The sequence below is a fragment of the Homo sapiens genome, chromosome 12, assembly GCF_000001405.40.
Source record: "Homo sapiens chromosome 12, GRCh38.p14 Primary Assembly".
Taxonomy (NCBI): domain Eukaryota; kingdom Metazoa; phylum Chordata; class Mammalia; order Primates; family Hominidae; genus Homo; species Homo sapiens.
This window is the reverse complement of record NC_000012.12, coordinates 94913664-94937791: the sequence shown is the minus strand read 5'-3', so window position 1 is coordinate 94937791 and position 24128 is coordinate 94913664. Positions and strand designations below refer to the sequence as shown.

General features: G+C 44.1%; 1 long non-coding RNA gene across 2 annotated transcripts in view, besides 1 other annotated feature; it reads left to right on the top strand.

Moving 5' to 3' along the window:
- Positions 1-9533: 9533 nt before the first annotated feature.
- LOC105369915 (uncharacterized) overlaps positions 9534-24128 on the top strand; it is a 31167-nt gene continuing 16572 nt past the window's right edge. For both annotated transcript variants that reach the window (XR_001749264.2, XR_945226.2), the window contains exons 1-2: positions 9534-9775; positions 12986-13146. This is a non-coding gene — a long non-coding RNA (uncharacterized LOC105369915). The remainder of the gene's footprint in view (positions 9776-12985; positions 13147-24128) is intronic.
- Positions 14718-15258: an enhancer, noted in NCBI's record as "NANOG hESC enhancer chr12:95316310-95316850 (GRCh37/hg19 assembly coordinates)". NCBI's record gives its function as "activates a minimal SCP1, AML or CMV promoter by ChIP-STARR-seq in naive H9 embryonic stem cells {active_cell/tissue: H9 hESC(naive)}" and the evidence as "EXISTENCE:reporter gene assay evidence [ECO:0000049][PMID:30033119]".

Here is a 24128-nt window from a genome sequence, read left to right as displayed (position 1 = left end):
GAGTGGAATACATAATAATTACTAATATTTAAACCAGTAATTTACTGTACGTGTACTAAATGCTATTACTTACTACATATATACTAGTATTAGCTGGATTATATTGTAATTCTGTATTTAACTTTGAGAAACCACCAAACTGTTTTCCATACCATCTGTACCATCACATAATCCTAGTAGCCATACACAAGGGTTCCAACTCTGATTTGTTTGTTTATTTGTTTTGAGTTTTACTAGGAAAAGAACCACTTTCCATTGCATAGACATTATCCTATCATGAGTTCCCCTGTTGGCCCATGAACTCATTTAATAAATATTTATCAAATACTTGCAAGGTGCCAGGCATTGTATGAGGAATGAGACTGGTGGATAAAATAGACACGGTTGCCCTCATGGTACTTACTATTTAAAGAGACAAGAAAGAAAACAAAATACACATCATTGCAAGTTGTGATAAGTTATTTAGAGAAATGAACAGGGATGGTGATAAGAATAATTATAACAAGGTAGAATTTTACCATTTGCTGTTTCAGGAAGCAGTATAGCATAGGACATGAAGATGTGGTCTTTGAGGTCTGATAGGATCAAGCCTAGCTTTTCCATTTTCTTTTTCTTTTCTTTCTTTCTGTCTTTTTTTGTTGTTGTTGAGACAGAGTTTTGCTGTTGTTGCCCAGGCTGGAGTGCAATGGTGCAATCTCGGCTCACTGCAACCTCCGCCTCCCGGGTTCAAGCGATTCTCCTGCTTCAGCCTCCTGAATAGCTGGGATTACAGGCACCTGCCACCTCACCTGGCTAAGTTTTTGTATTTTTAGTAGAGACAGGGTTTCACCATGTTGGCCAGGCTGGTCTCAAACTCCTGACCTCAGGTGATCCACCCAACTTGGCCTTCCAAAGTGTTGGGATTATAGGCACGAGCCGCCGGCCTGGCCAGCTTTTCCATTTTCTGTTTGACCTTGGACAAATTACTTTAATCCCCCTGTGCTTCTGTCTCCTTAACTATAAAATGGAGATGATAATAGCACTTACCTTACTGTGAAGATTACATGATAGAATCCGTGTAAAGTATATAGAACACTGCCTGACACATGGTAGGTACTCAGTAAATTTATTAATTTCATATCTCCTCTTTGTAGGCTACTCACATGTACTTACAATAATTCCCACTTGGAATACATGCCAGTTATTCATGGAATGGCCATTGACAAATGCGCAGTGGCCAAGCTTCTTCTCCTGATACTTTTGACCATAGAAACCTATGCCTTGAGAAGCAGAACTCATGTAGCCTCTTCTAGCCAGCCTCTAGTTTCCCATCAAAATTTCAACCCATGCCCTTCTTTTTCCTGGGCAGGATGCTGTGGTATGAGAATAGAGGCTTTGAAACTAAACATGTCTGGCGGGTTATTTATCAGTTGATTGGGTTATCTTGGACAAATTACTTGACCCCTCTAAGCTTCAATTTCTCCCTCTGTGAGGCACCTTAGGAGTTTTTGTGATGATGTATTTAAAGCTCCTAACTCAGCATCTGGACCATGGTAGCAGATCAATCAATCGTAACTTTCTCTAGAAATGTCTTAAATAAAATTGATATGAGGCCGGGTGTGGTGGCTCACGCCTGTAGTCCCAGCACTTTGGGAGGCCAAGGTGGGTGGATCATTTGAGGTCAGGAGTTTGAGACCAGCCTGGCCAACATGATGAAACCCCATCTCTACTAAAAAGACAAAAATTAGCTGGGCGTGGTGGCCTGCTCCTGTAGTCCCAGCTACTTGGGAGGCTGAGGCAGGAGAATCGCTTGAACCCAGGAGGTGGAGGCTGCAGTGAGCTGAGATCATACCACTGCACTCCAGCCTGGGATACAGAGTGAGACCTTGTCTCAGAAAAAATTGATATGAGTGTTCACAATATTTTTCTGTTAAAGTATGCTTATCTATTTTAGAAAGCATTACATTGGGCAGGTATAAAGTTAATTGACTAAATATGATGGCTATAATTTTTATAAAAGTTTAACCTTAGACCCTTGGTCAGGAGTGTCAACCTATTATAATGTAGCTTTCTCAAGAAAATCAGGTGCAACATAAGGCTGTCATTAGAACACAAAACATGCAGACTTTTACAATTTGGTTTGCTGCCAATGTTTATATTTTAACAAGACCCTCCTACATATAGGCCAAACAAATGATTGTCTAACAGTGGACATTCCAGGGGTCCTTGTAGGCCAGGGGTCAGCAAACTATGGCCTGCAGGCCAAAAATAGCCTACACTCTGTTCTTGTAAATCATGACTTGTTGGAACAGAGCCACACCCACTCATTTCAGTATTACCTACGGTGGCTTTTGTGCTAACAAAGTGGCAGAGTTGAGTAGTTTTATTTTTATTTATTTTTAATTTTTTTAATTTTGGAGAACAGGGGTTTCCCATGTTGGCCAGGCTGGTCTTGAACTCCTGGACTCAAGTGATGCACCCGCCTCAGCCTCCCAAAGTGCTGGGATTACAGGCGTAAGCCACGGCGCCCTGGCAGAGTTGAGTAGTTGTAAAACTAAATGGCCTACAAAGCCAAGTACAATATCTAGAAAAAGTTTGCCAACCCCTACTTTAGGCCAAGAGGGGAAAGGGAAGTGCTTTTGGCAGTAGCCTTTATTTATTATTATTATTTTTTGAGATGGAGTCTTGCTCTGTCACCCAGGCTGGAGTGCAATGTCATGATGTCGGCTCACTGCAACCTCTGCCTCCCAGGTTCAAGTGATTCTTCTGCCTCAGCCTCCTGAGTAGCTGGGATTACAGGCACGCGCCACCATGCCCAGCTAATTTTTATATTTTTTAGTAGATACGGGGTTTCACCATGTTGGTCAGCCTGGTCTCTAATTCCTGACCTTGTGATCTGCCTGCGTTGGCCTCCCAAAGTGCTGGAATTACAGATGTGAGCCACCGCGCCCAGCCTAGCAGTAGACTTTAAATTGTATGTGTAGCTTTCAGCAGGAATGTGTTGTCTCCTGCTGTTTGTTGGTAGGGTAACTTCTGGAATGCTTTGGATGTTTCTGTAGGAAAGGATCTTAGTGCCATTTATCAACGGGCTTAGCTCAACATTGCTGTATTAGGGCAGACTAAATTGTTGTAACAAGACCTGTTAATTTAGTGCTGTAAGGAATAATGAAGTTTATTTCTTGCTCACAAAACTGCCAGTGTGGGTGTTCCAGGTTGGTTGGCAGTTCTGCTCCGCAGAGTAATTCTGGGACCCAAGCTCTTTCCATCTAGTGGCTCTGCCCTGTCTTCGGGCCTCTTGCCTTCTGCAAGGTCCAGGTTGAGTCATTAGATCCAATTTCCAGCTGTTGGAAAGGAAGGAACACAATGCATGTCAGCCCAGCAATGGCACCCACCACTTCCACTCATATTCCATAGACCAGAACTTGGTCTTATGACCACATCCACTACAAGAAGCCCAGGAAGATGAAGAAGAAACTAATTTTGTTTCTGTCATAGTAGATAAAGGGGAGTGTTAAGGGTCACCTGACAACTCCCTGACCCAAGTTCTAAGTCTTTACCTCTGCCAAGGATAGCTTCATGCCAGAGCATGGTAGAACCTGGCTGGCTATACTTCCTTGAACTCTGTCAACCCTATCTCTGTGTATTCCTCCCTAGTAGTTGTCCTGTGTCACCCACCATAGCTCCCCTTTCTCTTTCTAACTCTTGATTTCCTCTTTCTGTAAGTATAGACAATTAGGCTGAGCATGGTGGCTCATGCCTGTAATCTCAGCACTTTGGGAGGCCAAGCTGGGAAGCTTGCCTGAACCCAGGAGTTCTAGACCAACTTAGGCAATATAGTGAGACCCTATCTCTACAAAAAAAGAAAAAAAAATTAGGCAAGCATGATGGCGTGTGCCTATAGTCCCAGCTACTCAGGAGGCTGAAGCGGGAGGAGCACTTGAGCCTAGGAGTTCAAAGCTGCAGTGAGCCATGATCAGGCCACTGCACTCCAGTCTAGGTGACAGAGCAAGACCCTGTTTCTAAAATAAATAAATAAGGACAATTAATTCCTAGTAGGACCCGTGGCTCTTGCAGCCCTCATGATAAAAAAGAGGCAGGTACTGTTATTGTCCCCTCATTATAAAGAAACTGAGGTATAGAGCAATTAAGTAACTTCCTCAAGGTCACAGCTAGTCACTGACAGCGCTCAAAAAGGAACATTTCTTTCGTTGGGTGGGGGTTTTACTCCGGAATATGGCCAAGGAGCATGCTGTGAAAACACTATCTGCAACACACAAGCAACTTTGATTTGACAAGGAATTTTTGTTTCTAAATTTGCAGAAATATTCTTTGCTAACTGTTGTTTACCTTTTAATTTTGTCAATGCACTGTTGTTTTTTCTTTTTTTCCCTGGTGGATAGAAGTTTTACTTTTGTCTTTTTTTGAGACAGAGTCTCTCTCTGTCACCCAGGCTGGAGTGCAGTGGTGCAATCTCGGCTCACCGCAACCTCCTCCTCCCTGGTTCAAAAGATTCTCCTGCCTCAGCCTCCTGAGTAGCTGGAACTATAGGCGTCTGCCACCATGCCCAGCTAATTTTTGTATTTTTAGTAGAGACAGGATTTCACTATGTTGACCAGGCTGGTCTTGAATTCCTGACCTCAAGTAATCCGCCTGCCTCGGCCTCCCAGATTGCTGGGATTACTGGCATGGGCCACTGCACCCGGCCAGAAGTTTTACATTTTTATACGATAAAACCTTCATGATTTTTTCCTCCTTACTTCTAGGTTTGAAAAATCATCTACCTTTGAGAATGATGATAAATATTCAATTCAACTTTCTTCCAGTCTTCTAACGTTTGTTTTTTAAACATTATTTACTTTTATCCATCTTTAATTGGTTTTGCCTGTGGCTGTGGAAAAATAACAATTCCCATTGTATTTATATTTGAATCTGCCAGAGAAAGTATTTATTTCAAACAGGCTTCAATGGGAAAAGCGAACACTGGTGACAGACAACCAAGAACCTCTCTTCCATATTTATAGTAGTGAGATTCCTTGACACAGGCTGGTGAGGTTGTAGATAGTGGCTTAGTTGTCACAGGTGGCTGAGCTCGTGTTGCAGCTGTAGTGAGTGCACTGGGTGCTGTTGGTGTGCTGACCCAGTGCCTTTATTTTATTTTATTTTATTTTTTTGAGACAGAGTTTCACTCTTGTCACCCAGGCTGGAGTGCAATGGTGCGATATCTGCTCACTGCAACCTCTGCCTCCCGGGTTCAAGCGATTCTCCTGCCTCAGCCTCCCGAGTAGCTGGGATTACAGGCGCCTGCCACCACGCCCAGCTAATTTTTGTATTTTTAGTAGAGATAGGGTTTCACCATGTTGGCCAGGCTGGTCTCGAACTCCTGACCTCAGGTGATCCACCCCACCTCAGCCCCACAAAGTGCTGGGATTACAGGCGTGAGCCATTGCGCTTGGCCTTTTTTTTTTTACTTTTGAGACAGAGTCTCACTCTGTCTCCCAGGCTGGAGTGCAGTGGCACAATCTCGGCTCACTGCAAACTCTGCCTCCTGGGTTCAAGTGATTCTCGTGCTTCAGCCTCTGAAGTAGCTGGGATTACAGGTGCACACCACCACGCCTGGCTAATTTTTGTATTTTTAGTAGAGATGGGGTTTCACCATGTTGGCCAGGCTGGTCTCGAAATCCTGACTTCAAGTGGTTCACCTGCCTAGGCCTCCTAAACTGCTGGGATTACAGTGTGAGCCACCACGCCCAGCCCCCAGGTGCCTTCTACCTGGCTGGTGCACCCACCCTCAGGTGCTGCAGTTTTGGCTGCTGAGCACTCACAGCTTTCCCCTTCTTTCGAGAATTGCCTCACCCCAAATAAAGAAATTACACTACCTCCCCAGTCACAAGCAGTAGCCAATGACCGAGGTTCTGAGGCTGGCCCCCTTGCTTCAGTGTGGGTCAATTCTTCAATTCCTTTTTCTTTTTTTGAGACAGGGTCTCTGTCACCCAGCCTGGAATGCAGTGGTGCAATCATGGCTCACTGCCGCCTCGACCTTCAGGGCTCAAGTGATCTTCCCACCTCAGCCTCCCAAGTAGTTAGTACTACAGGCGTGCACCACCATGCCCAGCTAATTTTAGTAGAGACAGGGTTTCACTATGTTGTCCAGGCTGGTCTCAAACTCCTGAGCTCAAACGATCCTCCTGCCTTGGCCTCCCAAAGTGTTGGGATTGCAGGCGTCAGCCATGCCTGGCCTCAATGTGGGACCTATTCTGAGTTGTAATCTATGCTGCAGAGCTGGCCGCAGGATCAGGCTGAAGCTCCTCTCCAGGCTTGAGACCCCAGTTTTGCTGAGCCCCTTCTCCCGCCTTCTCCTTCTCTCACTCCCTTTCTCCCGATTGCATTCCTTCAAATCATGCACACTCCAATCCCTGTCTCAGGCTCTGCTTCTAGGCAATGTGATCCAAGACAGTGAGGAAATCTAATTTCCTACAAATAACACTCTAATACTTATAACGGGGACATGGTTTACAAGCTTTGTAGATATCATAGACTCAAGATTAAAGGTTATATATTAGAGAGTTTAAACACATATGTAATAAACTGTTATATTGGAGAGTTTTTTTACCCTTAAATATTGAAATGGTAGTGATCAGAGTTATGAGTGATAATAAGAACTTTTTGAACTTAAGATCTATGACCCATCTAGAAAATATTTATTGGTTCTTGTTTTTCTGGGGTTCCTGGAAGTGTAAATATTCTCCAATCCCCTTTTCTCATCTTACTGAGACGAGAAATACCACCCCATGGTTTTGAATTCTCCATGTGCTTTTGTTAAGGAGATTATCCTCTTTCAAGCCTTATGATTAAATACCATGTGTTATGTTACCTATAGTTTCTTTTCATTTCCATCAAAGTGGAATCGAAATTTCTACAGTGACATAAATTTATTAGATGCTTCAGATTGTATCCAGCACCAACTATGGAATCATGCTTCTTTTCTCCCTTAGTTATTACTTTCCAAAGGCAATACTACTTCAGTACTACTTGCATACCACCATTTCTTTTCTTTTCCCCAAGCTTGGCCTCTAAGGATTTTGTTATTCTCTACATCTGAAGAAGCAGAGATGTTGTGACTTGCTTGAATGGGGAATGCGAGGTTTCATGCTCAGAACCCCAAGTTCCAACGAGCCTTTCTTGCCCCAAGCAGCAGCTCAATCTCCTGTGTTTGCCCCTCTGTGGACTCCACCGCTTATGTTTGTGTCACTGATCTGTCGTACAGTAACCCTTTCCTTGGTCCCTCTGAATTCTGTTACGCTCCGTTGACTTATTAAGAATGAACGCTGTTTGTTCTGTGTTTTGAAAATGAACTTTAACACTCCTGAGTCTTGCTTTGGGTTTTTCTCTCTCTGTTCAAACAAAACAGTTGGAAGGTGGTTGTGGTTCAATATTTGTATATTTGCTTTTTTGATTTAGATTGTTTCTCTTTTCCTGAGAATTTAAGGGTACTGTTCAAAGACCTTTGATAGCACCCTGGAGGAACTTAAGAGGTGGGTTTGGGAGCAGGGGAGAGCTAAGAAATGAAAGGTTTAGTTGAAGAAGAGGAAAGAGAGGGAGAGAATATCATTTGGTTTCTCTTTTAGGTGAATTCAAGTTAGGCAGAACTTTTTCCAAAACCAGTTAGACTTGGATGAGGAAATTATCCAAAACTTGCAGATACCCTCTGAGCTTCCCTAATTACTTGGGCGTCCTGGTTTATGATGCTAAGGCTTAATATTTTAGAGATTAAGATGGGACATCTGGTCATCTTATCCCAACCACAGGTCACTCTGTCCAAGGTACCTGCCATAACACTGACCTCACAGGGTTGTTGCTAGAGTCAAATGGTGTAGTTAGTGCTATAAATACTATTATTATTGGTATCCCCATGTTATATATGTGTTAAATGAGGCACAGGAAAGTTAAATAACTTGTCCAAGATCACACAGCTAGTAACTGACATAGCTAGGATTTGAATCAAAGCACCACTCACAAGAGACCAAAATTTACAGTAAACTATAATAAACAGTAAAACTATGAAACTATGTTATTTTTAAAATTACTTTTTATTTTATTTATTTATTTATTTATTTATTTATTTATTTATTTATTTTTTGAGATGGAGTCTCACTCTGTCGCCCAGGATGGAGTGCAGTGGCACAATCTCTGCTCACTGCAGCTCCGCCTCCCAGGTTCATGCCATTCTCCTGCCTCAGCCTCCTGGGTAGCTGGGACTACAGGTGCCCACCACCACACCTGGCTAATTTTTTTTTTTTTTTGTATTTTTAGTAGAGACGGGGTTTCACTGCTAAAGACCAGGATGGTCTTGATCTCCTGACCTCGTGATCTGCCTGCCTTGGCCTCCCAAAGTGCTGGGATCACAGGCGTGAGTCACGGTGCCCGGCCAAATTACTTTTTTTGTTTTGTTTTGTTTTGTGTTGAGACGGAGTCTTGCTCTGTTGCCCAGACTGGAGTGCAGTGGTGTGATCTCTGCTCACTGCAAGCTCTGCCTCCCGGGTTCACACCATTCTCCTACCTCAGCCTCCCAAGTAGCTGGGACTACAGATGCCTGCCACCACGCCTGGCTAATTGTTTTGTATTTTTAGTAGAGACGGGGTTTCACCCTGTTAGCCAGGATGGTCTCAATCTCCTGAGCTCGTGATCCGCCCGCCTTGACCTCCCAAAGTGCTGGGATTACAGGCGTGAACCACTGCGCCTGGCCAGGCCAAATTACTTTTAAGGTTCAATTATTTAGGTTGTTTTGCATGTAGGTAATTTTCTTAGAATGAAAAAAATATATATTTTGCTGGAATTTTTTCATAGTATTCTCCCAAACATGAAATGATAGCAGGATACATAATCTCCCACACTCAAATTTCCCAACATGATTCAAACAAAAATCATTCGTGCAAAATTATTTGAGCATTTCATCAGTTTCCTCAAAAGCCTCTCCAAAGCCCCTGATATTCAAATAATTTTCTTTTGAAGAACCTGAGCAATTGGTTTGATTGAATTTACATTGTAGACTCATATAATTAGCATGCGGCTGCTCTGGAAAAATGGGATGTACAAGGATGTAACTAGCATTAAGAGGAGAAATGTCTGCTAGAGTGGGGACTAATTTGATAATATTAGTGATATTTTCATCTTAAGATGACCTTCGCTTCCCTGTGCAACCTGGCAACGCAAAGACTTTGATAATGAGAGCTGAGCTAATGAGGACTCACTGCCATTTCGCAGACGTTAACTATCCTGCCTTCCTTAGGGAACAACCCCGGGTTAGCTGATCTGATGAGAGTATTTGGTGAATTTTGAGGCAGAATCCTAGGACAGCCCCCAGTGATCGCTGCCACCTGGTACTCACGCTCTCGTGTAATTCTCTCCCCTTGGGCGTGGGTGGGACTTGTCACTTGCCTTTAGTAGATAGATAATGCGATGTATGTGATTACATGTACATTAGTATGTTACAGAAGGTTGTAATATCCTTCTTGCTAACACATTCTTCCTTCCTGGTTTTGATGGATCTAGGTGCCCTGCTCTGAGCTGCTCTATGGAGTGGCCTATGTGGCAGGAACTGAAGATAATCTTCAATGCCAGCCAGCAAAAAACGGAGGTCCTCAGTCCAACATCCCACAAGGAAATGAATTCTGCCAACAACCGTGTGAATGAGACTGCAGTCTTGGTCAGAAATGCGATTGCAGCTTTCAGAAGAGACTCTGGAATAGAGGACCCAACAAACGGATGCCTGGACTCCTGACCCAAACCCACAGTAATGGTAAGATATTAAATGCGTGCTGTTCTAAGCTGCTAAATTTGTAGTCATCTGTTATCCATCAATAGGTAACTAATACAATCGTCATACTCAAAATAAATGGGTCATTTATTCTAATATGTATTGAGAGATCCCGTGTGCAGCACACTGCAGTAGCTCTGGGTATATGATGGAAAACAAGAGAGAAAAGACCCTGACCTTCATGGAGCTTACAGTTTAATGAAATAGATGACATTACATAATTATTCTATGAGCTCTACAGTCTGATGCTATTATCAGCATTAGCATCAGTAACCAGCATCGTAACTAATTGGATAAACTATAGGTGAATATTAATGAACATTCACCATAGTCATAATTTTTAAAAGCAAAGCATCCACAGCAAATCTACCTTTAAGGCTGGGTGTAGTGGGTCATGCCAGTAATCCTAGCACTTTAGGAGGCCGAGGCAGGTGGAATATTTGAGGTCAGGAGTTCGAGACCAGCCTGGCCAACATGGCGAAACCCCGTCTCTACTAAAAATACACACAAAAAATTAGCTGCGCGCGGTGGTGCAGACCTGTAGTCCCAGCAACTCAGGAGGCTGAGGCAGGAGAATCACTTGAACCTGGGAGGCAGAGGTTGCAGTGAGCCAAGATTGCACCACTGCACTCCAGCCTGGGTAACAAAGCAAGACTTCATCTCAAAAAAAAAAAAAAGAAAAAGAAAAAGAAAGAAAAAGAAAATCTACCTTTAAGCCATATAACTTTCTATAATTTGAGATGTTACTATCCCTTGTAAAAATGAGAACATGTTCACTCTCTTCCCTAAAGGAGAGACCTGAAGTCATAGCAGCTCCTGAATCTTTCTCCAAGTCCAGGACTTCTGAGTGATGGTTGTTCCTCCTCAAGTTTAATAATAAGCCCTCTTCACGGTGATGTGCACCTTAGTCCCAGCTACTCGGGAGGGTGAGGCAGGAGGATTGCTTCAGCCCCGGAGTTTGAGACTGCAGTGAGCTATGATCCCACTGCACTCCAGCCTGGGCAACAGAGCAAGACTCTGTCTCAATAATAATAATAATAATAATAATAATAATAATATTAATAATAATAACAGAAGAAGAAGAAGAAAGAAGAAGAAGAAGAAGAAGAAGAAGAAGAAGAAGAAGAAGAAGAAGAAGAAGAAGAAGAAGAAGAAGAAGAAGGAAGAAGAAGAAGAAGAAGCAGCCCATCTTGTTATTCTATAACCCCTGAACTAAGTTGTAAACTTGGCCATCGTTGACATAGACTATACAAAATAGTAGGAGAAAAGCTATAAGAAAATAGGCTGGGTGCAGCGGCTCACGCCTGTAATCCCAGCACTTTGGGAGGCCAAGGTGGGTGGATCACCTAAGGTCGGGAGTTAGAGATCAGGCTGGCCAACATGGTGAAACCCCGTCTCTACAAAAATACAAAAATTAGCCTGGCATGATGGCAGGTGCCTGTAGTCCCAGCTACTCAGGAGGCTGAGGCAGGGGAATTGCTTGAACCCGGGAGGCAGAGGTTGCAGGGAGCCGAGATGGTGCCATTGCACTGCAACCCGGGCGACAAAGCGAGACTCTGTCTCAAAAAAAAAAGAAATAAAATAGAAAATTAGTTAACTGCATCAAAATGTACTCGATACAGTAAGGAAGATAATAATAGCAAACACTGCCTTCCAGGCACTTTACATAAATGTTAATTAATTTAATCCTTATAATAAGCCTACTAAATAAGAACTATCAGTGTTCCCTTCTCCCCACTTTTTTTTTTAACTTATGGGGAAATTGAGCCAAATAGAAGTTAAGAAAATTTTTCAACATCTTCAGCAGTAAATCTGGGATCTGAACCCATTCAGTCTGACTTCAAATTCTATTCCTGGGCCTCTTAACTATACTCAACATGAATAGCTACTTCATTCCTTGTTTCTACAATATTCACAAGGGCGCAATTGGTGTTTATAACATCTTTCCTCCACCACTCCTTTGATGTCCCTTTTGCCTGTAGCAAGCATCTCAGCTGACTGCGGACTTTTTTTCTGAGACAATGTCTCCCTCTGTCACCCAGGCTGGAGTGCAGTTGCACAATTATAACTCACTGTAGCCTCAACCTCCTGGGTTCAGGTGATCCTTCTGCCTCAGCCTCCTGAGTAGCTGAGACTACAGGCGTGCACCACCGTGCCCAGCTAATTTTTTTTTTTCAGACAGGGTCTCACTGTGTTGCCCCTACTGGTCTTGAACTCCTGGGCTCAAACGGTCCTCCTGCCTTAGCCTCCCAAAGTGCTGGGATTACAGGCATGAGCCACTGTGCCCAGCCTGACTGAGGATTTTTGGTTGGTATGTGGACTCTAAAATTTGACTGGATTTGAATTCACTCTTACCAGCCATGTAAACGTGGGCAAATTGCTTAACTTCTCTGTGCCTCAGTTTCCTCATCTGTAAATGGGCACGATCATATTTCCTACATCATAGGGTTGCTGTGAAAATTCAATGAGTTAATAGACACAAAGCATTTGGTTTATTATTTCAGCAGGGAGGGACCATTCCAGAGCCTTCCTCTTAACACTTCCAACTGTAATAACATTCACATCACAGGTCAGGGAGCCAGTGTGACTATTCTGCCGGTACTTTGATTACAACTAAGCACTCAAGAACTGAGGAAATAACTATGAGTTCAAGGACCCACTGGGGTCACTGGGAACAGTCCCCGCTGTGAGTAAGCCCCGCTATCAGCTATTACCATAAAATTCCATACACCTACCAGAGAATCACAGATGGCATTTGGGGCCTGCAGGATTAGCATTAGTTAAAAGATAGTCATCCTGAAAGGTCTATGAGTTCCTTTTCCCAGGGTCCAATTGCCCTGGTAAATTGTCCCAAGTGCCTTCCTGAAAGGATAGGAGGAAGACTTCAGTACACACTGTGCTGTCATTGCTGGGTTGTTCCTCAAGAGCATCTTGTCTCCCTGCTATTCAAAGGGCTCTGGGTTTGGAAAGTGACTCAGGCCTGGCATTGGGTGAAGGACTGGACTCGCCATCATCACGACTAGTCAGTCCTCTGTTCCCCAGACTTATATTTTGTTGTTATACATATTAGGTCAGACTTTAGCGTCCATGTATTTCAGCCCCAAAGGCCCTAGGATCTATTAAGCACCCTCAAATATCCCTTAGAGTCAAATCCTTTTGATAATCTCATCTAAGTCTTCTGCTTTTTTTCAGGAATCAGGACGTGCTTGCCCCTGAAGGTTAAAGCTGATGTTTGCCCCCCAAGGAAACCTCTTTCCATCAAAGCATCTCTCACCATCATCCCTGGCCTACAGAGGGCATCCGCTTTTCAAGAATGCCAACTCCTCTCTCACCAATGTGTGTTTTTTCTGAAGGTGGGTGAGTAGATCAGTGATTATAAATCCACTCTAACTGAAGGTTTGGCTCTGTGTCCCCATTCAAATCTCATCTCAAATTGTAATCCCCACATATGGAAGAAGGGACCTGGTGGGAGGTGATTGGATCATGCAGGCAGTTTCCCTCATGCTGTTCTCATCATAGTGAGTGAGTTCTCAGGAGATCTGATGGTTTAAAAGTGGCAGTTTTGCCGGGCGCGGTGGCTCACCTGTAATCCCAGTACTTTGGGAGGCTGAGGCGTGTGGATCACGAGGTCAAGAGATCGAGACTATCCTGGCCAACATGGTGAAACCCCATCTCTACTAAAATACAAACAATTAGCTGGGCATGGTGGCCGGTGCCTGTAATCCCAGCTACTTGTGAGGCTGAGGCAGGAGAATCACTTGAACCCGGGAGGCAGAGGTTGCAGTGAGCCGAGATCGTGCCATTGCACTCCAGCCTGTGACAAAGCGAGACTCTGTCCCCCCCAAAAAAGAAAAAAAAGCAAAGTGGCAGTTTCCCCTGAGCTCTCTCTCTCTTGCTACCTTGTGAAGAAAGTGCCTGTTTCCCCTTTGCTTTCCACCATGATTATACGTTTCCTGAGACCTCTTCAGCCATGTGGAACTGTGAGTCAATTAAATCTCTTTTGTTTATAAATTACCCGGTTTCCGGTAGTATCTTTATAGTAGCGTGAAAATGGACTAATACACCAACATTTGTATCTCTCTAAGGCTTTGGGTTCCTTTTTCCACAGCGCATCAAGGATTGTGTGGCATCTGACTTCTCCTGCACAGGCCACCATTGAGTCTCACTTTTAGACAGCCAAGCAGGAAGTGTAAACCTCTTCATAATCTTGCTATTCTTTTGGTACGTAAGTCTTCTCTTCCCAGGTTTGGTTTTGATTTCAGGACATTCTAGAATCTGACTCTAGTTGTGGATCTGGAGACCATGAGCAGAGTCCTCGTGGCCCATGGGCCACATCCCGTTGCAAGGTGACCATTCAGTGAGCTCGATACAGGGTCTCTGCATAAAACAGGACCAGCCTCATCAGAAAGGGAGGAAGGGCTGCTCTCATTTTATTGGCCTACGAGGCTCTGTGAGTCCTGGGGTTTCAGATTCTTGGCGTTATCTAACACCTCCAAAATATTTCCACTCCAATACTCAGGGGAAAAACCACCTTTTCCCAATCAATGCCCAGAAAGTCATAGCGGGACTGTGAATTCAGTCAATTTTGAGATTCATCAATCTTCAGGCTCTGCCTCTGCCTCTGATTTTCAGCTTCATTAGCCTTGAACCTGCATGACATAAAAGAGTACTTGAAGGAAGTCACAGAAATTTTCTCATTCACTGACCATGCTTCGAAGTGAGAATTTAAATCCCTGAAAATGCCATTTCTTTTCTTTAAACTTCATCGTGCAGTTAGATGTAACTGCTCACCTCGTGGCCTTTATAATCCCCGCGCTGCAGCCCCCAGGGCCTTGCTTTCAATAGGCACTTCATTCTGTGTCACTACAGGTGATAATTTTGGTGTTCTGCCACTGGATGACGTGGACATCTATGAACACAACTCATGATTTAATCAAAATGCGATTTTATATTTGTTTCTCACCAACTCTTTAAACTTTATTCAGGGGCCTTCCTCTAGCCCTGGAAGAAACTTCTGATGGCTTCTCTGGTTTTTCTTCCCTGCTCACCCTCACTTCTACCCACTAGCTGTCATTTTCTTTCTCTTCCAGGGTTGAAGGTAGGGTAGAGATGAGAGGAAAAAGGGGTAAGTGAGTCACTACTTGATCTGGTAGCTTCGTGCTCTCTGGGGCTGCAGATGATTAAAGCTGGTAACCCCCAGGGGGCCTGGACGATAGCTCAAGCTGATTCTTTCTCTTCTGGCCCTTGAATAGGAATGCTGGAGAGGCTCCCTGCAGGCCCGCTCTCCTGCAGTTCCCTTGACTCAAGTGGATGTATCTCTATTCCAGCTTGTCTCTTTCAAATCCTTCCTCAGCCTCTGAGTATCCAGCTGAACGTGCTCAGCTGCTTTCTGCTGAGGTCCTTCTCAGAGGACCTGGTAGACAGGACTCAAGCCTTGTCTTGTGTTACCCCCATATGGTCTTGGGAAGTCTCCTTCATCCTTTGCCTCAGGAAACTCCAGGAGTGCCCGCTGATCCCAATATAGAAGCCCTGCTTGTTCTTCCATCTCCAAAGCACGTAGCCAGCTTTGTAACGGAGGAAAACATTCTGAATTTTCTTGGTGGAGTTGGACTTCAGTTCGTGGTGCACTCTAAGTTTCTTGCTCTTTAGTCAGGCCGCCCCAGTCTTCTGTGTCTTCCAACTGCAAGGCACACGTTTAAAAGCTCTCCCAGTGGACAACTAAAAACCTTCTCACTAGGCTTATGGTTGGGAGACAGAGCCTCTGCCTCTCATCCTAAGGGGAGAGGGCTCACAGCAGAGCAAAACCCTCTTCAAAACAATCTCCTCAACCATCTTCTACTAAATCTTCCCACTGACCCCTTTTGTATCTTTGATTTCATCGAGAACCCTAGGAGATGTGGAAAAGGGTCTCCTTCACTCCTGTTCTAAATCCTGCATGGCAGGGGTGAGGTAGGTGGCGGGGGAGGGGGTGTGGTGGTTGGTCTCAATCTAATTTTGGCATCCTGAGATTTAATCTGTTGATGCTTCAATCTACTCTGAGGCAGCGGCTGGTCACAGTGGCTCTTACCTGTAATCCCAGCACTTTGGGAGGCTGAGGCGGGCACATCACCTGAGGTCAGGAGTTTGAGACCACCCTGTCCAACATGGTGAAACCCATCTCTACTAAAAAGACAAAAATTAGCCGGGCATGGTGGCACACTCCTGTAATCCCAGCTACTCAGGAGGCTGAGGCATGAGAATTGCTTGAACCCAGGAGGGGGGGGTTGCAGTGAGCCCAGATCGCACCACTGTACTTCAGCCTGGGTGTCAGAGCAAGACTCACTCTTAAAAAAATAAAAATAAAAAACAAATGGAGGCAGGAATAGTGTCATGCTAACTTCTCTAACAATGGTTTTAGTGACTTCCTGGCCACCAGATGTCATGTTTTTCCTGTATCCTATCCTTACTACTTCCAAATCCAACCAAGTCACCTAGTCAATTCCAGATTCCCAATACCTTGGAATCTCTTTCAGGAAAACAAGCCAGTCTAGCTAGTTTCAGCAGAACTTTATTACATGGTATTACTTAGAATTTCTAGGAGAGCCGAGAAACAAAGCCTGGATATTACACAGCCAGAAGTGAAGCAGCCAGGAGGAATGTCCAAGCATCCCACACATGTCCCAAATATCCTAAGACTCTTCTAGCAGAAATCCTGCTGTTGCTGCCAGATGATGCTTAACATCTATAAAACCAGAACTGACCACCAGGACCCTCATTACAGTTCGTGCAGAAAACCAGGCAGCATTGTGTCCAGACTTACTAGAATATTGTGTGTCTGCAGCCTGTCACCTATATTTCAAGTGTTGCTTAGGTTTGGATTTGTTGGAAGATAGTCAAATGTCTATATCCTAGCAGCAAAGGGTCTTGAAAGAAATGTGTTGTGTTTGTTTGTTTCTTTTCTTTCTTTTTTTTTTTTTTTGGAGACAGAGTCTCACTCTATCTCCCAGGCTGAAGTGCAGTGGCACGATCTCGGCTCACTGCCACCTCCGCCTCCCAGGTTCAAGCGATTCTCCTGCCTCAGTCTCCTGAGTAGCTGGGACTACAGGCGCATGTCACCATGCTGAGCTAATTTTTGTATTTTTAGTAGAGACGGGGTTTTTGCCATGTTGACCAGGCTGGTCTCGAACTCCTGACCTCAAGTGATCCACCTGCCTCGGCCTCTTAAAGTGCTAGGATTACAGGCGTGAGCCACCGCACCCGGCATGTTTGTTTTTTTTCTTCCTATGGAAAAGAGAATTCACAACATAGAAGAACTACCAAAAAAAGATTTGAGGCAGACACAAATGACAAATGTCCATTATGAAACTTTTATGAAAAGAAAAGTTTATGGTCCCAATCAATAAACTGTTTTGACTATATAAAACAAGGAAATAACAAAAAACTCTCTTATATATCTTTTGAATTTTGTACCATTGTTGTTATATATATATATATTATTTTTTTATTTTTTTATTTTTATTTTTATTTTTTTTTTTTGAGACAGAATCTTGCTCTGTCGCCCAGGCTGGAGTGCACTGGCACAATCTTGGCTCACTGCAAGCTCCGCCTCCTGGGTTCACGCCATTCTCCTGCCTCAGCTGGAATTACAGGCACATGCCACCACGCCCAGCTAATTTTTTGTATTTTTAGTAGAGACAGGGTTTCACCGTGTTAGCCAGGATGGTCTCGATCTCCTGACCTCGTGATCCACCCACCTCGGCCTCCCAAAGTGCTGGGCTTACAGGCATGAGCCACCGCGCCCAGCCCCATTACTGTAATATTTATTCAAAATATAAATTAAGAAAAAAAATTAAGTCTCCTTTTTCAAGGCTCTTCCTTAGTGCCATTTTTCTTATCCTCATTCCTCTTATGCTGTTGGGGCTTTCTAATGTCTTGCATTATCTTTATTCTTTAACCTTAGAAATGGTTTTGATTGACCTTTTGGTAGTCTTTGGTCTCCTTTAGCCCTTGTGTTGTTATAAAGATAAATGAGGTAATGCATTTAAAACACTTCGCATAGTGTTTGGTACCTACTAGGTAATCAACACTGGTTAGTTTTCCTGCCACTCTCCTCTTGCTATATTATTGCCTGTGGTGGTTGTTCCAGTCTTGAGTGCAGAGAATTCAACAAGATGTAGTGGGTGCATTTAAGGGACTCTCCAGCCCATGTCCTCACCATTTAAATGTGGACCATAATCCAAGCTAAACCAGTTAGACTTTCTTTTTTAAAAAAATAGAGACGGGGTCTTGCTATGTTACCCAGGCTCGTTTTGAACGCCTAGGCTCAAGCAATCCTCCTGCCTTGGCCTCCCAAAATGCTGGCATTTCAGGCATGAGCCACCGCACTTGGCTGCCAGTTAGACTTTCTTAGGGGCTAGGTAAGATAAGATCACGTATAGATGGAGTCAGAGTTGGTAACAAAACAGCCCAAAGACACACACGCTAGCTCAAGAAAGGAGGTAGGAGAAGCTGGGAGGTTGCAGAGTATCCTGATCAGTACATGTGGGCTCTGTAGTCAGGTTGCCTTAAATCCCTGCCCTAACACTCACAAGCTGTGGGGTCTTTGGCAAGTCAGTTACATAAGCTCTCCAAGCTTCTGTTTCTTCGTCTATGACCTAGGGATAACAACAGTGTCTTTCTCATAAGGTTTTGTGAATTGCTGTGGACAATTCCTATCACATAGCAAGTTTAATTCCTGGATTTCATTTACTTGAAAGTTTATGTTTGAAAAACATAATTCCCCAAGTTTTTAATCTTCCAGTGAACTAATGGTCCTGCATTTCATGTCTCCAGGCTGTTACAAGAATAAACATAGTTGGCCGGTCACTGTGGCTCACGCCTGTAATCCCAGCAATTTGGGAGGCTGAGGCGGGCGGATCACCTGAGGTCAGGAGTTCAAGACCAGCCTGACCAACATGGAGAAATTCCATCTCTACTAAAAATACAAAATAAGCTGGGCGTGGTGGTGCATGTCTGTAATCCCAGCTACTTGGGAGGCTGAGGCAGAGAATCACTTGTACCCAAGAGGTGGGGGTTGCGGTTAGCCGAGATTGCGCCATTGCACTCCAGCCTGGGCAACAAGAGTGAAACTCCGTCTCAAAGAATAAACATAGTTAAGATGTTTTAAAAGAATATATATATATTTTTTTTTGAGACGGAGTCTCGCTCTGTCGCCCAGGCTGGAGTGCAGTGGCGCTATCTCGGCTCACTGCAAGCTCCGCCTCCCGGGTTCACGCCATTCTCCTGCCTCAGCCTCCCGAGTAGCTGGGACTACAGGCGCCCACCACCACGCCTGGCTAATTTTTGTATTTTTAGTAGAGACGGGGTTTCACCGTGGTCCTGATCTCCTGACCTCGTGATCTGCCTGCCTCGGCCTCCCAAAGTGCTGGGATTACGGGTATGAGCCACTGCACCCGGCCTAAAAGAAGATTTTTATAATGAATCAGCTCAAATGAAAAACTCATTATCTCATTACTAATAAGAATAAAAAAGCACTTGAAGAGCATGAAGGATATGTAAGTGTCAAGTTGAATTTAGTTCAAAGTTTTCTGTAGAGATAAAGTTTCTCTTTAAGGCTCTGTTGACATCCATTCCATGGGTGAATTGATTTACTGTATGTTCAGTTGGGTTAATCCCAACCAGCCTGTGCAAAATGTGCCATTTCACCATTGGGTCAAGCAATATAATATAAAATGTGGGACTAAAACTAAGCTTACAAAAATGCCTGTCTGCTTCTTTCCAAAATGAGATAAAGGAAAATGTGCAAGAGCTCTTTGATTAACCAGAGACCCCGTGATTTTTTTCTTTTTTCTTTTTTTATTTTTTTAGAGTTAGGTTCTTGCTCTGTTGACTAGTCTGGAGTGCAGTGGTGTGATCATTGCTCACTGTAACCTTGAACTCCTGGGCTCAAGTGATCCTCCTACCTCAGCCTCCTGAGTGGCTGGCACTTAGGAGCACAGGCCCGTGCCACCAAGTCTGGCCGGTTTTTTAAAATTTTCTGTAGAGATGAGATCCCACTATGTTGCCTAGGCTGGCCTAGAACTCCTAGCCTGAAGCGACCCTCCTGCCTCAGTGTCTCAATGCGTTGGGATTACAGGCATGAGCCACTGCACCTGGCTGACTTTATAATTTCATAATTTTATGACTTTCAGACCTGTGGCCCTGGAATATAAGTTCATCCCATTCTACTTTGCTGAATTAAAAGAAAAATCTTAACAAGCTAAATTATAAACTACTTCTTTTAGCAGATGACATTTCATAAATATCTTGAGAGCTATAGAGAAGACTTTGAAGGAAGAATAAAAGCCCCGCATGTAATTCCATTTATAGTTTAGTAGGTTATTTTATTCTTTCTCTTTTTCATTTTTTAAAGTGAGCCTAATGCCATGAACCTGATTTCCTCAGGTTCCCCTGGCCTGTGGGTTGAAAGGGGGGCACATTAATGGTGATAACCCATATTTTGCTGAATTTATCTAACGTCTTCAGGTTTGGGTGCCTCAAGTACCCCACTCAAGTCTCACTCAGTTATTTCTGGAAGTTCTCAGAGGGTATATTGCAAACAAGTGTATCCTCTACAGTTACTGGGTAATGTGATGCCTTCTTCCTGTGCTCTGACCCACAGATATCCTTTGCCCAGCTAGCCATTTGAGAATGTGCATTTCCACCACCCAAACTGCTGGTGCCCCCTGGGATAACCCTAAGACTGTCCCAAGAATGCCAACTTCCAGTGATCCCTGGACAGCCAGCCCTGGAGATGCCAGAGCAGTTTCTTGTTACTGGGAACCCTAAATGTGCCAAAGCTGCACTGCATCAAGAAGGCCCTGCTCTGTGTGGCACTTTGTCCCTTGGGCACACAAACTGTGTGCTTCAAGAGGGAGCCTTTGTAAAACAGGCTTTGTCTTCTGTTTGCAGCTTCTCTTGCCACCGTGCTCAGATACGAATCCCTGGGGCTGGCGCGACCATCCTCCCCAGTCCCATCTCTCTCTTCCTGGGAAGTGGCTCCTTCTTTCCTCTCATGCAAATCATTTCATGTAAATAGACGCCTTTTCTTTCAGTTCATCAGTGCATTTGTTGGAACTCTTTTGGTTGCAAATAACAGACTTCAATGAGAGCTCGCAGAAGCAAATGAAGAGTCTGAATTATAAAGCTCTTGGAGTGTCTGGTGAAATAAAATGGCAGGACTGCAGCTGGGCCTCAAGGAGAAACTAAAATAGGGGACTGAAAAGCTCTAATGATGTCCATCCCTCTCCTCTCAAGTTGACTGGCTTTCCCTGATCACTGTTTTATAAGGAGAAAAGCATGACTCTATGTGAGTTTTGCTGGGGAAATGCGGTGACCTGGCTATTTCTGAAGCATAGGGTGATGGTAAAGGTCGGGGGAGGGAGGCTTGATGCCACATTTGGAGGCGTGGGCAGGGACTGCATCAAGGTTGATTTTTAACAGGCTGGAAGTTTGTCCTGAAGGCAATGAATGGCAGAGCCACTGGGGAGGCTAGAGTCGAGCAAGCAGATTTCTACTGCAGTTAGGTCATGCTGGGGTATTCGGGAAACACATAGAAGGGAGCAAGACCAGAGACAGGTAGAGAAGTTAGGATGCTACTGTAAGAGGCATTCGAACCACAGCAACCCCATTTTGAGTGAGGGCTAGGAAAATGAGGCTGAGACTGGCTAGGCTGCATTCTCAGAAGTTAGGCATTCCTGGCCTCTAGAGGTTTATGGTTCGGGCAACAAATTAATAATGTTTGCTAAACAGGCCCAGACTTGGGAGTGTGCAGATATCCCAATATCTGGAGCACAAAGGCATTCCTAATTTTGCTTTAAAGATAATAATATCAATTCTTGCAAAACATAGTAATGAAGAAAATTAATTCTTTATCACAAACCCTTGTAGCAGAGCACATCCCCCTATATATACAAGCATTGTCCCTAGGGTGAATGTGTTCCTCCTCTTACTTTCGGCAACATCCTACTCTGTCTAAGGAGTAGCTGTCTTCTCACCATTTTACTTTCTTAATAAACTGGCTTTTGCTTTGCAGTGCAGACTCACCCTAAATTCTTTCTTGCGTGAGATCCAAGAACTCTCTCTTGAGGTCTGGATCGGGACCCCTTTCCTGCAACACAACTGTAATATATGATCTTCAGAATACATTCAATAGTCCCGCTGGGAGCAGGAATAGAGAGGAAGGGATGGATTGGAGAACTACTTAAGACGTAGAATCCACAGGACTTAGTCACAGGTGGGCAATGAGGCGAGGGAGGAAAACTCCAAAATGCCTGCCAGGCTCTTGGCCTTGGAAGCTGGATAAATGGTGGTGATATTGGCTGAGGTGGGGGATAGGGGAGAAGGAGCAGATTTTGTTTGGGGGAAGATGAAATGGAATGCTTTTCACAGCCTGGCTGGGATTAACCTGACTGTACCTACAGCAAATTAAGTTAACTTGTGTTTGTTGAGTTTGGGATGCCCAAAGCATCCTCAAAAGGTGATATCAGGCTAGGCACGGTGGCTCACGCCTGTAATCCCAGCACTTTGGGAGGCCAAGGTGGATGGATCATTTGAGGCCAGGAGTTTGAGACCAGCCTGGCCAACATGGCGAAGCCCCATCTCTATTAAAATTACAAAAATTAGCTGGGCATGGTGGCATTAAGCCTGTAATCCCAGCTACTCAGTTGGCTGAGGCAGGAGAGTTGCTTAAACCTGGGAGGTGGAGGCTGCAGTGAGCTGAGATCACACCACTGCTCTCCAGCCTGGACGACAGAGTGAGGCTCTATCTCAAAAAAAAAAATAAAAAAATTAAAAAATAAAAAAATAAAAAGGGTGGTATCAGGAAGCCATGAACATTTAATTCTCTCACTCTGGGAGAGTCGATGCTAGAGATTTATGGTTGAGCTGGGACTTATCAGTATATAATATGGTTCAATCATGATGCTGAATAATATCACCCAAGAGAGCAGGTAGTAAGAAGAGCAGCTGACACAGGATGGAGGTTTGGGGAACGCTAGTGTTTAAGGAAGGGGGAAAGGGGTTTCAGGAAGAGAAGCCCATGAGAGAGATGGAGAAATAGATAATCCAGCAGTGTTAAATGCAACACAGTGTCAGTGAGATGACTACAAGGTGTCCATTCACTTAGCCACAACATTTTTATTTATTTTTTAGAGGCGAGGTCTCACTATGTTGCCCAGGCTGCTCTTAAACTCCCAGCCTTAAGCTATCTTCCCACCTCAGCCTCCCAAAGTGCTGGGATTACAGGTGTGAGCCACCACACCCAGCCTCACAAAGTATTTATTGAACATCTACTATATTCAGCATGCTATAGCAGTTAAGAGTTTAGACTCTGGAGCCAGACTACCTAGGTTTGAATCCATGATTTACTTGCTGTCTGGCCTGAGACAAATAATTATTACCCTGTCTCAGCTTCTATTTTCTCTTCTGCAAGGGCAAAGATAACAGTAATTATTTCATAAAGAGTAGCATGAGGATTAAACAATATGTGGCAGATGGTAATTATATAATCAATGCTATTACTGTCGTGTATCAGACACTTTTGTGGGCTCCAGCGACACAGCTGTGAACAAGACAGAGCAAGTCCCTGCTCTTATGGAATTTATATTCTATTTGGGATGAGGGGAGCTTGGATCATAAACGACAAAAAGCAAGAAAATGGCAGTGAAGTCCTAAAAAGAAAATTTAAAAGGTGAGATGATGGGAGGTGAGGGTGAGGTGGGTTGCTGTAGATGGGCTGGCCAGGGAAGGCAGCCTCTCTGAGGAGGTAACATTTGCGCTGGAACTTGAAGACCCATGAGAAGATACTGGTGCAGAGTGTTTCAGGCAAAAGGTGAACAAATGCAGTGACCCTAAGATAGGAACAAATTTGGTGTGTTCAAGGAAAAGAAAGAACCACCTCTATCTGATTTCATGGCCCATATTCTTTTCGCCATACCTCACAGTCTTTCTGGCACAAATCATATTAATAAAGCCACAGGAAAGGAGCCCTAAAATTATTGCGGCAGATACTGTAAGTTGACTCATTCAATACGTATTTGAATCACTTTCGATCAGGAAAGCAAAAAACTACATTCTTAGACTCCCTTGCAGCTAGATTGATATTCACGACAGTTTCTGCCAACGTGTGAGGCACAGCAGCAAGGTGGTGGCTGAGCCCAGAGAGAGAACAGATTCTCTGCTAAGCTTAGTGGTGGAAGCACTTGGTTCTGCTGGGGTGTGCATGGAAACAGTTGCATGCCATCAGAGGACGTTTTTTTCTGGCTGCATTGTTTCTGGCTGAGTAGTGTTCAAGCCTGGTTCTCTGGTCCTCTGAAAG